General features: G+C 33.2%; 2 protein-coding genes across 14 annotated transcripts in view; both read left to right on the plus strand.

Moving 5' to 3' along the window:
- SPAG16 (sperm associated antigen 16) overlaps positions 1 to 14,307 on the plus strand; it is a 1,126,038-nt gene extending 1,111,731 nt beyond the window's left edge. For all 11 annotated transcript variants that reach the window (NR_047659.2, NR_047660.2, XM_011511814.2 and 8 more), the window contains one exon: positions 13,946 to 14,307. Coding sequence is in view for 9 of the 11 variants with exons in the window: in XM_011511814.2 (XP_011510116.1) it covers positions 13,946 to 14,121 (176 nt within the window). In the remaining 2 variants the exon portion in view is untranslated. The remainder of the gene's footprint in view (positions 1 to 13,945) is intronic.
- A 552-nt stretch (positions 14,308 to 14,859) lies between these two features.
- The window catches only part of VWC2L (von Willebrand factor C domain containing 2 like), a 167,923-nt gene continuing 167,101 nt past the window's right edge, over positions 14,860 to 15,681 (plus strand). For all 3 annotated transcript variants that reach the window (NR_159945.1, NM_001080500.4, NM_001345929.2), the window contains exon 1: positions 14,860 to 15,592. The gene's annotated coding sequence lies outside the window, so the exon portion shown is untranslated. The remainder of the gene's footprint in view (positions 15,593 to 15,681) is intronic.

The following is a 15,681-nucleotide window of genomic DNA, read 5'->3' on the forward strand; positions in this document are numbered from 1 at the left end:
TCCTTTATGAGGTATGTCTTTTGCAAATATTTTGTACCAGGCTGTGGCTTGGCTTTTTGTTGTTTATTTTAATAAAGTCCTCCAGTTTGTTTTTTTAATGATTATATTTAGTATCTTCATTTATCACTCACTATTTTGCTCTGCAGTTGCTAAAAGTACTTAGACACATTGTATATATACCTAGTTTTAGAATACTTTGTGCTTCTCTGATAATTCAAAATTTTGAGTTCTATGTATAAGAAATGACTACATGGTAATAATGGTGATCTGTAATTAATATTTTTTAATGTTTTATTGTTTTTATTTTCCAAGCATACATAAAAGTGAAGAAAATAATCTAATAAGCCCCATTTGTCCACTACCCAGGTTTGACAACTGTTAATATTTTGACAGTTTTGTTTCATTGATCCCTTCTTCTTACATGTTCATGTGTTTTGTTCTTAAGATTCTGAATTCCCAAAGAATATATTTTTAAATTTAAATATTGACAACAGCAAAATAGTATGGTTTCTCAAAATGATTCCACAAAATAATTTTTATCTATTTGGTTGTTTATGTTCTTATATATTATTTTAAAAATGATTTCTTTAGAAATAACTGAAATATTTAGTATTCAGAACTTTTTATAGATCTACATCAAGATCTTTTGAACATGTGCAAAGTTGCCACTGAAACATAAAATGTATCATCTTTGATAAATAGCCCTTAAAAAAAGCACTTTTCTTTAGCTTTTTTCCTAAAAATACTGGGATTTACTAGGAAAGTATAAAAACTATACTGTATGTTTCTAATTTTAGAGTTTATAAAAATTTTATTCTGTTTAATATAATAAAATCCAGTGCAGCTTGCTGTAATTGTTGATTTTGGCAAGATACTCTAGTGTATGAATGCCACTGAGATATTAATAATCATAGTATCTAGTTAATGCAAAAAAGCTTGAATTTATATAAATTTTTTAATTTTCTTTTTTTTTTTTTTTTGAGATGGAGTCTCGCTCTGTCGCCAGGCTGGAATGCAGTGGTGCAATCTCGGCTCACTGCAACCTCCGCCTCCTGGATTCAAGCGATTCTCCTGCCTCAGCCTCCCAAGTAGCTGGGACTACATACAGGCATGCGCCACCATGCCCAGCTAATTTTTGTATTTTTAGTAGAGACGGGGTTTTGCCACGTTGGCCAGGATGGTCTCAATCTCCGGACCTCGTGATCTGCCCGCCTCGGCCTCCCAAAGTGCTGGGATTACAGGCGTGAGCCCCCGCGCCCGGCCATATTTTTAAATTTTCTAATGCAGATTGCTTGTCTTATAGGTGTTCAAATTTTTCTATTCCTTCGCAACTATAATTCCCACTTTACCCCTACCTTCCCTGCAGTTTATCCTTGGGAGTTTTTGCATTTAATAGCCTCACTGTAGATCAAGGGACCCCAAACATTGGCAGTCTATTTAACAAAATACTTGAGCTGATTTATTGATAAAACTAGATGCAATTTATTTGCATAAGAGTCTTTTAGGAGGCAAGAGGATAGATAGATAGTCAAATTAAAGACAATAGAAGGTAAAGCACAGTTTTCAAGGCCTACAATGTGGCTTATTATTTCTTTGTTTTCTTCTCTAATGCAAAAATTGGCTCTGAATTGCACATCTGGAATGACTATCTGAAGTAGAATTTTTTTAAATGCCTAGTGTCATTCCTCCTAAAATGACAGCATCTTGTTCTTCATTTGGGTAGTTCTCCGTATGCACTCTCACTTGTTCTGGTCAGCACTTAATCCTGGCCTGGTGAATTAGTAAATCACACCCTTCCGCCTGCCAGCCACATGATCCAAGCTAACCAATAAGGGAAAATTTTTACCCCTTATGAGACTGCTAGGCAATAGAGGTACTCTTTCCATGGAATTTGAATTTGGTAGGCCATGAGCCTGAACCCAGACTACCAAGTGGACAGAGTCTGCCTCAGTATGGATTTACACTGCTGGAATCAGAATATAGAGACAATGAAAGAAGGCATCCTAATAACATCATTCCAACCTCTTGATCCAGCCATTATTGGAGTCAGTTTATTTGAATTTCTGTGTGATAAATATATTTGTTAAACTTTAAAAAAATTTTTCCCTTTGCCACATTGAGTTGACTTTCCTTCACTTGCAACTGAAAATACCCTAATATTCCATTTATTCAGACAAGTCACACTCCATATTTTCTAATAATTGTACTTCCAACTTTGCCATTTTTATGCCTCCTGTATATAGCTAAATCATGCGTGCCTCATTACTTTAACTCCAAGTACTCATCAGTGCCCTTGATCTCAAATTGTCTACTAGCTTTCAGCAAAAGCCCATTTGATCCAAGTGGGCTAGCAGATGAAGAGGTTAACAGTGAGAAAGTATGATGGAGAGAGGCTGAATAAAGAACAAACTAATCACATGTTGCTTTAAATTTTCTATGAGATATAAAGCCAGGTCATCGGAATGTAATATTATAGAATGTTAGCTGAAATTTCCATAAAGATGCCTTCACAGAATTATTAGTTAATATAAATTTATTTAGCAGTTCATGTAGCAGCCAAATTAGCTTAACTTTCTGGCATAACTACTTTTGTTTCCCCTCAGGCTGCAGGATAGAGGAAATTTTATAGACATACTTGGTTGGCATCCTTGTTCAAATCCTAACTCTGTTATCTTAATGGAGGTCTTTCATGTCTCTATGATTCAATATCTTTCTCTGTAAAATGAAAATAATAATGTTGCCTTTGCATTTGATTGTAAGGATTCCATAATAAACAGATGTGAAATATTTGGGAAAAAGTGAGATAATAATTGTAAGCTAGTGGTTCTATCTTTTATTATCAAGCACTTCAAATTATTTAAAAGGAAACCTCCATTAGGTATTATGCCTGTGGGGCTTACTCAGGTAATATATAGTGACATATATAAAATTCAGAGCTAATCTATGATTTCAGAGAGTTTAATATTTTTTAATCATCCGATTATACTACATACTACATTTAAACTAATTAATTTAGCCATTCCCAGTTCATACAAGACCTTCGCATTTGATATTGCAGCCATTCTTTTGCTCTTGTGAGGAGGGTATCCATCTCAATTATAATTCTTTTATCACATATTTGCATATCTTTTTTTTACTATAACTATTAATGGTGTAGTGATGCTGATTTATCACTTAGCCTCTTTTACCTAACAATGTTGCCCTGAAGTAGGAAAGGATGAAGTTCTAAAATTAGGATGTAATTATTAACAATTCACCACCTGAACATTAACTAACAGAATCTGACAGTGGCTTTCCCCACAGACAAACCTCCACATTCAAGAAAGAGGATTCCTTTATAATGAAGTTAGTTCTGACACCAATGTACATTAAGAGAACAACTCCCAAAATATTATAACTCTGACTTTTAGAGTCTTAAAATGTAGTTATGGTTTCAGTAGTAAAATCTGAGCAATACTAAGGGTGGTTTTATTACTTTACAATAAGACAAAAATGATTAATTTCTTAATTAAATTTTTGATATTAAATATAAGCCCTTGGTTCCTTTGCCTATTTCTAAACAACAAAGAAGAATATATCATAGTCTATGATTTGCTATGAATTATGTTTTGTGATGGCTTATCGAATCCTCAGAACTGAACTGGAACTTGCATTTCCTCTGTTATCAGCAAAAGCTTTTCTGAAATGTTTGCAAAGCTCCAGATATATGGGGTTCCTGAATAAATATTATCCCAACACTGATCAGCTGCATAGGTGAAGACCAAGTTAGGAAATAGGTCTACAAGGATTTCTTAATGAAAGCAGGTGGCTGTTGATATTTTAAATAGATTCAATAATTAATTAGAACATTTTTAGGACTTTAGGTGCATTTCACAAGGGATTTCTGTAATATTCAGAAGGTAGCCCATGTAGGAAAGCACCTGGTTCAAGATCATCATTCATGCTCTCCTAATAGGGGGGAAATATTTTTAAAACTCCACACAGGCCAAAAGTTCTGTTCCTAGCAAGGTAGACTTAATTTTTTTGATATATTCACATGCTATAGTTTAGGAATTTCTGGAGAATCAAAGAACTGCCTTCCTAAGAAAGACATGGATTTCATGTTAAAGACAGAAAAAGATGATAGTTGGCCCCATGTAGCTGCAGATTTTGCAATCACAGATTGAACCAATCACAGATTGAAAATATTCAAAAAAAAGTATAACAAAAATAATATAAAAATATAACAACTATTTATGTAGCATTTATATTGTATTAGGTATTATAAATAATCCAGAAATGATTTAAAGTACACAGGAGGATACGCATAGGTTATATGCAAAAACTCTGCCATTTTATAGAAGGGACTTGAGCATCTGAAGAGTTTGGTATCTGTGGGTTGGGAAGGACCTGGAACCAACAACCCCATAGATACAGAGGAGCAACTTATATTTGTTTAAAACCATTTTTGGCAAACTTCTAAAACAGACTCTGTGCAATAAAATTCACTTGCTTAATAAGTCACATTCCATACCAAGTTCACATAATGGTAGATTATCCTCAACTTCCATGTGTTTGATGTCCATTCAATATTTTATGTTTTCTAAGTAAGGTAAACAAATCTGTTGACTAGAGCTCTGAAGATACTGAAGGCTTCCCTTCCTTCTCTGTTACCATTTTTGTGATATGAACTTCTACCAAGATAAATTTAAAATGCATTTGTTTTATACTCTATGTTTTACACTTTGACATCAACTAATCTTTGCTCACAAAAGAAAAGTTAGGACCCTTTAGCATTAATATACATAGTAAAAAATGCTGGAAAAGTTTTTAAATTGTTACTAGCACTTAGGTAAGTTAAATTCGCAAGCAATATTTTTTTCTGAAATGCATTGATCAGCAGTAAGGTACAAAATAAACTAAATCACATTTCATATCTCCTTTCTGTGGTGTTTTTGAAATTCTGAGTAATGACCCTGGTTGAGCCATTAATGCAAATCCTCAAAACTTAAGTAGTTTCTTGATACTTTCCATTTTGAGGCATCTTTTAAAGAAACAGCAGATGCCTCTCCACATGCATTCAAAAAATCAATAAAATTAATCAATAACACTCTCCACAGGTAATATATGTTCAGAAGCATTTCTGCCTATCTATATTGATTTAGAGAATTGCTTCAAATCTGTTCTGATGTGTATAAAAATCATTTCCTTATTCATCAAAGTTTCTCTTCCCTGATATGTTATTTCATATATGGCACACAATGATTTTTGTCTCTATTCTTGTATATTTGTGATAAATTTCTTATGATCTGTGTATGAGACTCATTTGAATAAAATATAAAATGAGTATTTTGTTTCTTTGGAGAAACCTATTGCTCAAAATTTAATCAAAGAATGAATAATCATGAGAAATTACTGAAGTTATTGTAATGAGAAACGTAATGATGTATTTCATTCACATTTTTATTATTTATAATAAGCTTAAAAGGTTTGAGTTTGCTTCTATTTCTTATAACAAAGCTCCATTCCTGCAGACACATTCCTACAATCCAGAATGACACTATTACTGACTATATAAATAATAGAAAAATGCATAGTTTTAGCCAATTGCTGACTCATAGTATTGCTAGAAAATGTAACATGTTCAAACCTATAAGTGAATTTTGTAACCTTTTTGCTAGTGTATGTGTTACGTGTTTAGACAGAGTAATAAGAAAAATAGATATTCTGAATTTTCTGAACATAAAGAAATTTAAAGTTTTGATAGATATAACATTTAATAATTCTCATTAAAAATGACTGTATTTAATTAACCCAACCAACTTATATATCCACAGTTACCTTAACTAACAGTACCTGATAACTGGTGGCTCACTGGGGAAACTGTATTTGATCAATTAAAGAGTCCCCCAAGGAAACACAACTCTTAACTCTTGATATATTAACTAGTGTTGTGAATTATTCCTCTAACAAAAAATCAAATATTTCTGTCAACATTATTTAATAAATTTCATAACTAACATAGGGTGCTCCATTACAAAATGACATCATTTGGCCAGTTAATACACCACCACAGTAAGTGTGCCTCAACCAGTATCTTCTTCAAACTTGGATTTATTAACAAGTTTCATGCCTCTCAGTGGTTTTTCCTTGGAATTTCAGGGAATAGGAATTTTCATATTGACAACCGAGGTCCAATACCTCTCTCTACCTTAGAAGATTTTACTTTACCAATCTATCAAATTAATTTTGTCTTTTCTTAATTCTTAAATTAAGTTGAGATCTTTCAGCAAAACAAGAACTGTTTTTTTTTTCAGGAACAATTAGTGTAAAGAATTGGATAAAATATATTCACTGTATTCAAAAATATTATTTGGGTGAGGCTAAGGGGATGTTTGCCAACATAGAAAGCATAAGCATTGGAAAGAAAATATAATCTGGTTTGTTTCCCCTATATCAAAAATTAAATGACAATTTTTAAATAACATCTTAATATAAAATACTTACCTAAAGATGTGGAAGTGTTTTTTCTGCCCACTAAGGCACTGGGTACATTGGATGGTCTCCAGAAGCTCTAAAAGAATAGGGCAGCCTTCCTGAGTTTGTCACTTATTCCCAGGAAACTAGTTGTACAATCAGATTCTTGGAATCAATAGATGCCACTAGGGCGACCATGAATATAAAATTTTTAAAATATTTCTTTTACTTATGTAAAAATTAATTTAAATATATTCCTAGAGATGAGCATAGATTCACACTGGAAACTGGAGTGGCACACTCAAGAGAGATTTTGATAGACACATCTCTCCATCATGTTGTGTTTTAGTAAGGGCAGCTGAATCAAAGTGGAAGGGATGACATGGAGCCAATCCAAAAAAAAAAAAAAAACTCATCTGGGCATATCATAAAAGATAACAGCATGAGCCTTGGAGTCATATAGACCTCAAATCCGGATGCCATCACTTACAAGCTGTGTGGCCTTGGAGAAGTTGCTTTTCTTTCTAAACTTCATTTCCCTCTTCTGTAAAGCAGAGTATATGCTAGTATTTTCTAATAAAAATATGTGATATGTGATATACTATGATAATAGTATGTTGATAATTTTAAATTTTCTAGTGGACACATTTTTAAAGAACAGGTAAAATTGATATATTTATTTATATATTTATATTTATATATGAGATATATATTTATACTTATTAATTATATACATATAAAATATATGTTAAAATCTATAAAATGTACCCAAAATGGTATCATATCAACAAGTAATCAATATGAAAATGAGTAATAGCCTATTTTACATTCTTTCTTCGTTTGAAACCTGGTGAGCATTTTACAATTACAGCACATTCCAATTTGTACTAACCACATTTCACATGCTCAATAGCTACATGTGTGTCATAGCTGCTATAATGGATATTACACGTATAACCTACCCCATAGGGTTATTGAAGAATAAAATGAGATAATGCAAGTAAAGGACTTAGAACAGTGCTTGGCAAATAATATGTACTACAAATGGTAGTGTGAAAGCTGCTACTATTATCCACTGATATTGATTATATCTTCCTTGCTCTGCTGGGGGAATGGAAAAATATATGGCATGGCCCCTGTTCCTGAGTAATCACGAAGTTAAGAATGTAAGACAAATATATAGTTAACTAGAATTTTTGACATCTTATTATCACATGAATGGTATGAATGAAATGCAATAAGTGCTCAGAAAAGGCAGATCTTGTACTAGGAATCCCTTGTACCAACTTGGTGAAGAAAATCATTTTGAACTAGGATTTAATAGGTAGGTTGATTTTTGTTAGGAAGTAATGGTTAGGGACCATGAGGACAGCTAGGAAAAATATTCCACTATAGGGAATTACAGAAGAAACAATCCAAAGGTAGGGAAGTGAAAAATACATTCAAGAAATGAGGGCAAATTGTTTGATGGAGAGCACAGAGTTCATGTAAGAGTGTACTTGAGTTAGCAAATGCAGATTTGTATCAGAGTGTAGAGATCTTAAAAGCCATGCTAAGATACTTGGACATTATTCAGTGTCTGAAAGAAATAGTAAAAAAGAGCACTGATTTAGGTGCCAAAGATCTGATTTCAGCCATATTCTGCAACTGCCACACGTGCATTTTCCTACCTTGGCCAAGTCACTTCAGCTCAGCTGTTTTATTTGTAACATAAGATGGTTGGATCTAAAACAAAACAAAACCTGAGAACGTCAGAGATGAAAAGGGCCTCTTTGTTGTTGTTGCTGCTGCTACTGCGATCATTGTTCTGTTTATATTTGTGGTATTTTAGGATGAGGATAACATTACTGAAGAAATGCCTCAGGAATTAATATAGGTAGATTTAAAAGTAAAAATATGAAAATGAAAAGATCATTTTGAGAATCATTTCAGTGGTCCTAGTGTCTTTAAAAAAAGGATTTTAACTAATATTGTGGACATAACAGTTGGAAATATTAATAAATGGCTGGGTTGGATTATAGAAAATTTGTTTAAAAAAAGAAAGAATGGCTAGGACTTGGATTGAAGGTGGAGAGGGAGGCAAAGTGAGAAATGAATTTTATTACAGTTTGGAGTCTAGAAAAAAAAATAATTAGTATTCATAATAGAAATGGTAGAACCAGGGAGATAATTTGGCTGGAGATATGGGAAGGGATGTAAAATGAGTGTTTTTAGTTATCGGGTACAATTTTTAGTACATATTATATATGCATTAGAATGTATGTATTTAGAGATTAATGGATATATATAGTGACTTTTGCAAGAACATGAGTATTTTAGTTTCAGAGTTTCACAAAGTAGTAGAATCAACATTAAATAAAACAATTATGAGATTAACATGAGCATTAAAGTTAAGAACTTATGCAACTAGAGAATTCAGTGATATTCATAAAGAGGCCCCAAAGTGTGACACTTATCTGAGTCTTTTTTGCTTATTTTTTGTTATTATTTTAGAGACAGGGACTTGCGCTACCACCCAGAATGGAGTGTAACGGTGGGAATAGCTCACTGCAGCCTTGAACTCCTGGACTCCAGCAATCCTCTTGCCTTAGCCTCCACAGTAGCTAGGACTACAGATGCATGCCACCATACCTGGCTAATTTTCTTTTAAATTTTTTGTAGAGATGGAGTCTCACTATGTTGTCCAAGCTGCTCTCAAACTTTTGGCCTCAAGTGATCCTCCTGCCTTGGCCTCTCAAAGCATTGGGATTATAGGCATAAACCCAGTTGGCCCTAAATCTTAATTTATGAAAGAAATTCTAAAGCCAGTAAATGAAGCAAGACTTTTTGAGTAATAAAGTTTTCAATTCAAATCCCAAATCAAGGCTGGGCACAGTGGCTCATGCCTGTAATCCCAACACTTTGGGAGGCCAAGATGAGTGGATTACCTGAGGTCAGGAGTTCAAGACCAGCAGGGCCAACATGGTGAAGCCCCATCTCTACTAAAAATACAAAAAATTAGCTGGCCGTGGTGGCAGGCATCTATAATCCCAGCTACTCCGGAGGCTGAGGCAGGAGAATCACTTAAACCCGGGAGGCGGAGGTTGCAGTGAGCCGAGATTGCGCCACTGCACTCAAGCCTGGGCAATAAGAGTGAAACTCCATCTCAAAAATAAATAAATAAAGAAAATCCCAATTCAACCTTCTGTGAGTCTCCTTCTTCATTTTCTAGGAGGAAAGAATAGCTACATCACAGTGTTGAGTGAAAAACATGTGATGTAAAAAAGAAAGCTCTAGACATTCAATGAATGAGGGCTACCATCAACTCATTCCAGTAAACCTGGATGACAAAGAAATGGGCTCAAACCCTTTCTATTTAAAAATGTCATAAAGGTTTTTGTGCTCCTACTTGTAACACACTATGAATCTTCAAGCAACAAGCACATATTAAGTACTGATAAGTCAAGTTCCATGATCATAAAAAAAATTGCAATAATAAGCAGCATGAATCTCAACCTTAAGGAGAACTTGGCTACATGAGAAGGAAAGTAAGTATTGAAAGGTTTAAGGTAACTCCTGGTTATTCTAGGTGTACACTGTCAAAATCAAATTGACTTCTCACACGTGTTTCTAAAATTAATTTAAAATTCAATAAAAATTAATGAAAATTGATTGAAAAGTTTTAAAAATTGTAGCTAGAAAAAGTGTCAATATTACACATTTTATTAGCATGAGAGTAAGAGTTTCCAAACTATGCTAGTTTATATAAAGTGATTTTTACATCCAGATAAAATTTTACCACTCAATTTGTATGGATTAATTCATTCTGTAAACTTCTTCAAGGGATTCTATTGTTAATAATGCTTAAATTAGTAAGTATATTCAAATATTCAAGTTTTTATAACAAATTCAATTGAAACTGTTATGCCTAAGATATTAGTGAAACTACTTATTAAAATAAATACAGCATATAAAGGAACTATATTGTATTAAGAAAGTTATAAATTTATTTGGAACTAACTTTGAAAGACCCTCTAATTTATAAAATTAGATTGAATCATTTAATAGCAGAGCAATACTTTGAGGTTAGGAGAAATTTAATTCTTGTCTTCAAAGCCAAAAGGAGTTGGCAAATTCATCCAACAGAGTGAAATGGACAGCAACATATGCTCCTCATTGAGTCCTATTGGTCAACAGAAAAGGTATTGATTTACTAAACATGAAAATATTCTGAAAGTCTTGGCAGATAAAAATAAGTATTGATTATATATTTTAAGACATATGAAGGAGTCATAATCACTCAGTGTTGATATATACTGAGTTATTTGTATAAAAAATAGCAGTTACAAAATTAAATCAATCTTCTCCCTAGACTGTTTATTTTCTTTCCATTCTGTGAAAAGTATGACATCCTTATAACTTGAATGTTAACAAAAGAAAAAAAGCAAGGCATTTTTTACATAACAGATGTTTAAACATTTATCTGTATTTTAAAATACCTTTATAAATCAATTTTGACCATTTTTATTTTTAACCTATTGGTAAACTACTCTGTTTTTAATCACAAATTTATTTCATGTGATTTTTATGGAATGTGTGTATTCATAAATTGTTATAATTATTCTTGTTAAAATACTAAGCTAAATAACAACTTAATAATCTGTTCAGAAATTACATGTTACAAGACAATATTTTGCTTTTAATATTTTAATAAAAGATTTAAAGTAAAAATAAATTATTTAATTTCACATTTTTTAAAGAGACATATTTACTTCAATATGAACATTATTAGTTCAGGTTTCACGTAAGTTCTCATGACGCTATTTAAAATTGTATTTCTACCATATTTTCATTCCATTGACCAAGTTCTGATATAGTTAAATCTTTTATCCTCCCTAAATTTGTCATTAAGACCCTGACATTCAGATGACAAGTGATTTGCAGTGTGGTTTGTTTTTCATTGCCAATCACCAGGAGATTTAAAAAGATACCCATGCACTTCTGTATAAACACTTTCTCTATAAATGCTCCACTTTGTGGAGATGCTACCAGTAATGAGACTATGGCATTTTTTATTTTCTTTCTGAGAGTACCTCTTCTCTCTCAAACCAATTGGATACTAAAGTACTAATGTAGCAATTGACACACCCTGGTAAGTAATTTTGAACATTTTCTAACTTAGAAAGAGGTTAGCATCCCTGTTCCCAGCAAAACTAATTTTTAAGTCACACATTACATGCCGTGTAATAATCCAATATACTGTAAATGAAGTTGAACATGATTATAAACTTATATTCATTTTAGGAATTAGTTACGATACGTACTCAGTCTTGCAATCTTCTGAAAATGAATTCAGGTAAACTTGAAAAACCGCATAATAAATTTGCTGACCAAAATCTGTTCTTGAAAAAACAAATTTTTGGAACACCTGAGGCATGGTGCTGTTGAATTAATATGAGGTTCCAATATCATTTTCTGTATTTTATTTAACAAACTTTCAGAAATTACCAGAGCCTTCATAAATATTTCCAATTATTATTTTTAGAGATGTGAATAATGATTTAAAGCTAAATATTTTTCTTTTTCTTTATGGACTTGGTTCTGTTTCGTTTTGTTTGGTTTCACAAATAGAAATCAGTGTTTACCCCACTTTTCAGCTGTTGTATAAAGACTACAAGAAAAAAAGTTATTTGGGAAAGTCACAAACAGCAATTGCCTATAGAGTGAGGTTGGAAGTGAAATCCATATGTAATGCCTCTGTCAGCAAAGACTTAGTAGAAAATGGTTTATAATAAATATTCACATCTGCTGCTTTGGACACTCTAATCCATCCTAAGGATCTTTGCTGTGTCAGGTTTTGTTCTAGATGAAGAAGCCCAGTAGTTATAAAGGTTTGCAAATAGGTTGTATTTATCATGGTTAGCTTTACTTTTATAACTTTTCTCTGTTTTAGAGGTATTCATGATGTTTGGGGGTAAAATTTGTGATTAAATATTTCACTATAGCTTTTATGGTGATATAATTCTAGAATTCTTATTATAAAATGGACCAATGCTATTTTCACAATATATCACTTACCTAAAATCTGTCAAGAAGGCATCATTGATAACAATGCTATGCTGGCTGTGGAAAGCAATGGCTAAAAGCCCAGGCTCTGGATTCGAAGTGCTGTGATTAAATGCTAGCTCCTTCTATACCTAGGGTGTCATTATGAGCAAGTTACTTCGCCTTTCCAAGCCTCTATTTCTTCACCTACATAGAGGAGGCATTTTTTACATAACAGATATTTAAGCATTTTTAAATAGTACTAACTATTTAAAATACAGATAAATAGTACTATTTAAAATATTAAATAGTTAATACTATTAATACTAACTAATATATTAAATAGTTAATACTGTTAGTACTATTTAAAATATTAGTTACTACTATTAGTACTAACTATTTAAAATATTAAATAGTTAATGCTATTTTCTTTATCATTAGATTACTGTAACGATCATTCAGAATTATCCATATCAAGCACTAAATATAAGGATCATACGGAATTATCCATATCAAGCACTAAATATAGTATCTATCACATTAAAAGAGTTTAATAAATTTTAAATGTTATTACTGAAACAATAATATGCCTTCTAAGTATGATTAAATAATCCCATGGATAGTACTAATGTCATACTTATTTACACTAAGTACTGAGCTTATGTAAACATATCCTATTGTTTTACTTAACTCCAAGTCCCATGATAGTTTGTTACTGGACTTCCTTAATAAAAATATTAATTAAAATTGGATCCCTGATTTGTTTTCACTTTGAGGAAATGAGCCACTAAAAAATATATGATACAAAAATTATGCAAATACCCTGTGCTGTATTTAGCCATCTTATGTAAAAAAAATTTAATTTATCAAAATTTGAATTCTAAGCTAGAGTAAAAACTCTCAAGTCATTTTGAAATGGAAGTATTTATTTCCACTTCAGCTTCAAAAAAATTTGTTGAGTTCATGAGTATCACAATTTTTAAAGCAGGAATGTATATTGAGTTGTAAGTAATGATTAGCATAATTATTATAAATAAGTTTAAAGAAGAATACAAATGTTTTCCATAAATTTTGAAAGCTATGCCTTTTAAAACTTTCTAACATATAATTTATTTGAAAAAGAAAGTTGCCTTGCATAGTTGCTTTCAATCTCATCTCCTCGAAATGCTTTATTAATCACAAATATAAAAGAATAGTAGGATGTTTGATGAAATCTGCATATAAAGGAGGTAGACCATTAGGCTCTATGTCCCAATTAGAAAATTTTATAACCTAATTATTGATGTGTCTTAATTTTGACTCAACTTATTTCTTATACCTACAGGAGCTACTGCATATTTAATAACTGACCCCTAACACAGAATGATAATTGAAAAAAATAGAATGCTTCATTGCTTATAAACTGTGAACACTTGAAATAAAACTTTGATTCATTCTCTCTCTCTCTCCTCTCTGTCTCCCTCAGGTCGAGTTTTAGCTCAGGCAAGTGGCAATGGTGTTATCCATTTGCTAGATCTTAAATCTGGGGAGATTCACAAATTGATGGGCCACGAAAACGAGGCACACACGGTTGTGTTTTCTCACGACGGGGAGATTCTCTTTTCTGGAGGCTCTGACGGCACAGTTCGAACGTGGTCTTGACCGTCAGCACATCCCGCTGCAGAGGGCATTCCCTTTAAGGCTTGAAAATGCCTCCTGTAGTCCCAAACCAGCAAAGAACTGGTTAAATGTGCCAGCAGGTAACATTTACAGTCTGCTTTAAAACATGCTTTGGACATATATTTTAGTGCTCATACTGTTACTAATAAAAAAATAACTTTATGCTCACCCATTTGTGTCAGGGTCTTTTTTCTCTCTCATTTTGATAAGAATTTAGAGACACGGCATCTTTGCTAGGGGTTTTGAAAGAAACAGCTTTACAATGACGCCTAATGACAGACTAGATGAATTACAGGAGATTGATTTTTAATGTTAGAGAACAAACTGCAGGAAAACCTGGCTACTTTAAAAAAAAAAAAAAAAAATCAGATCCAAGCTGCAGGAAGACCTGAAGTTTAATCATGCAGCACCAGGGAAGTCTTTCTGCCACCAAAGGGTCAAATAGAATCGACAAGCATACGTTTTCACAGATTGTTTGACAATGATTATGCTTTATCTATTAATAATAATTGGGGACTGCAGATGGCTTAAATCTAAATGCAAGCCTCTTCTGGAACTTTCATCTCTGCAGCCCATCCAAGAACGCGTTAGGTATACAATTTTATACAAAAAAAATTAATTGCAATTTCAATGCAAATAAATATCTCGCACGTAGAATGTCTTTACCCCTCCTAATGCGCGCATCCGCTGTATAAAGTGCGACTGCTTGGAGAGCACTCTAGCCTCGTCTAAAGCAGCTCTGGGATTTCGACAGAGCTGGGCTCAGAAGCCAGTTGTTGGCGCTGTCCGTGGTGCTGAGGAATTCCCGGCTGCCGGCAGAATGAGCTCCAAATCAGCAATCTGCAAACTGCTCTTACTGATGCAGAAACCCAGCTAAAGTTGCTCCTTTCCTTCACATCCACAGTTAGTATTTTCCGGTGTGTAAGAGGGGATTCAAGCAACACACTGTGGACGATGGTGATGGTATTGCCAGCGGAGTGGGCTTTAAGCTACAGCATGCTGTTGCTGTTTGTGATCCTCAGAGCCTAGCCAAATCACCTCTACTGCCGTAGCAAACACTGTGTAAGTGAACTCATGTGTGGAGGAGGCGTAATCAGCCGGGAAATTTCATAGAAGGATCTAAGAAAATGCTAAAAATAAGTTCAACATGATTCTGCTACTGGGGTCTGGATTTCTACAGGACCAGCTTTGCTTCTTGCTTTGAATTCTGAAGACAGGTCCAAAGCAAATTTCTTATATGTGTCTGCTGTGTTTCTTTCTGGAAGGGCGGGAGACTGCTTCTTTACTGTGTTTTGAAATGGGAGGTAGAGAGAATGGATTGCCTTTAATTCATGCCTAAAAAATGTATTCTTTGGGTAATTAAAGAGGAACTGCTTTCTTAAAACATACCTGACCTTTTAGTTCATTTTGGGCTGTGACCCCTACCACCACCATTAACCTCCAGAGTGATTAGGTAAGTGTATCTTATGACATGAATTATGTTTGTTTTCTCAAAGAAATAGATGCAGTCATTTTAAATCATCTGTAGCAATATGGGGAGGG

This window comes from Homo sapiens, chromosome 2 (assembly GCF_000001405.40).
Source record: "Homo sapiens chromosome 2, GRCh38.p14 Primary Assembly".
Classification (NCBI taxonomy): domain Eukaryota; kingdom Metazoa; phylum Chordata; class Mammalia; order Primates; family Hominidae; genus Homo; species Homo sapiens.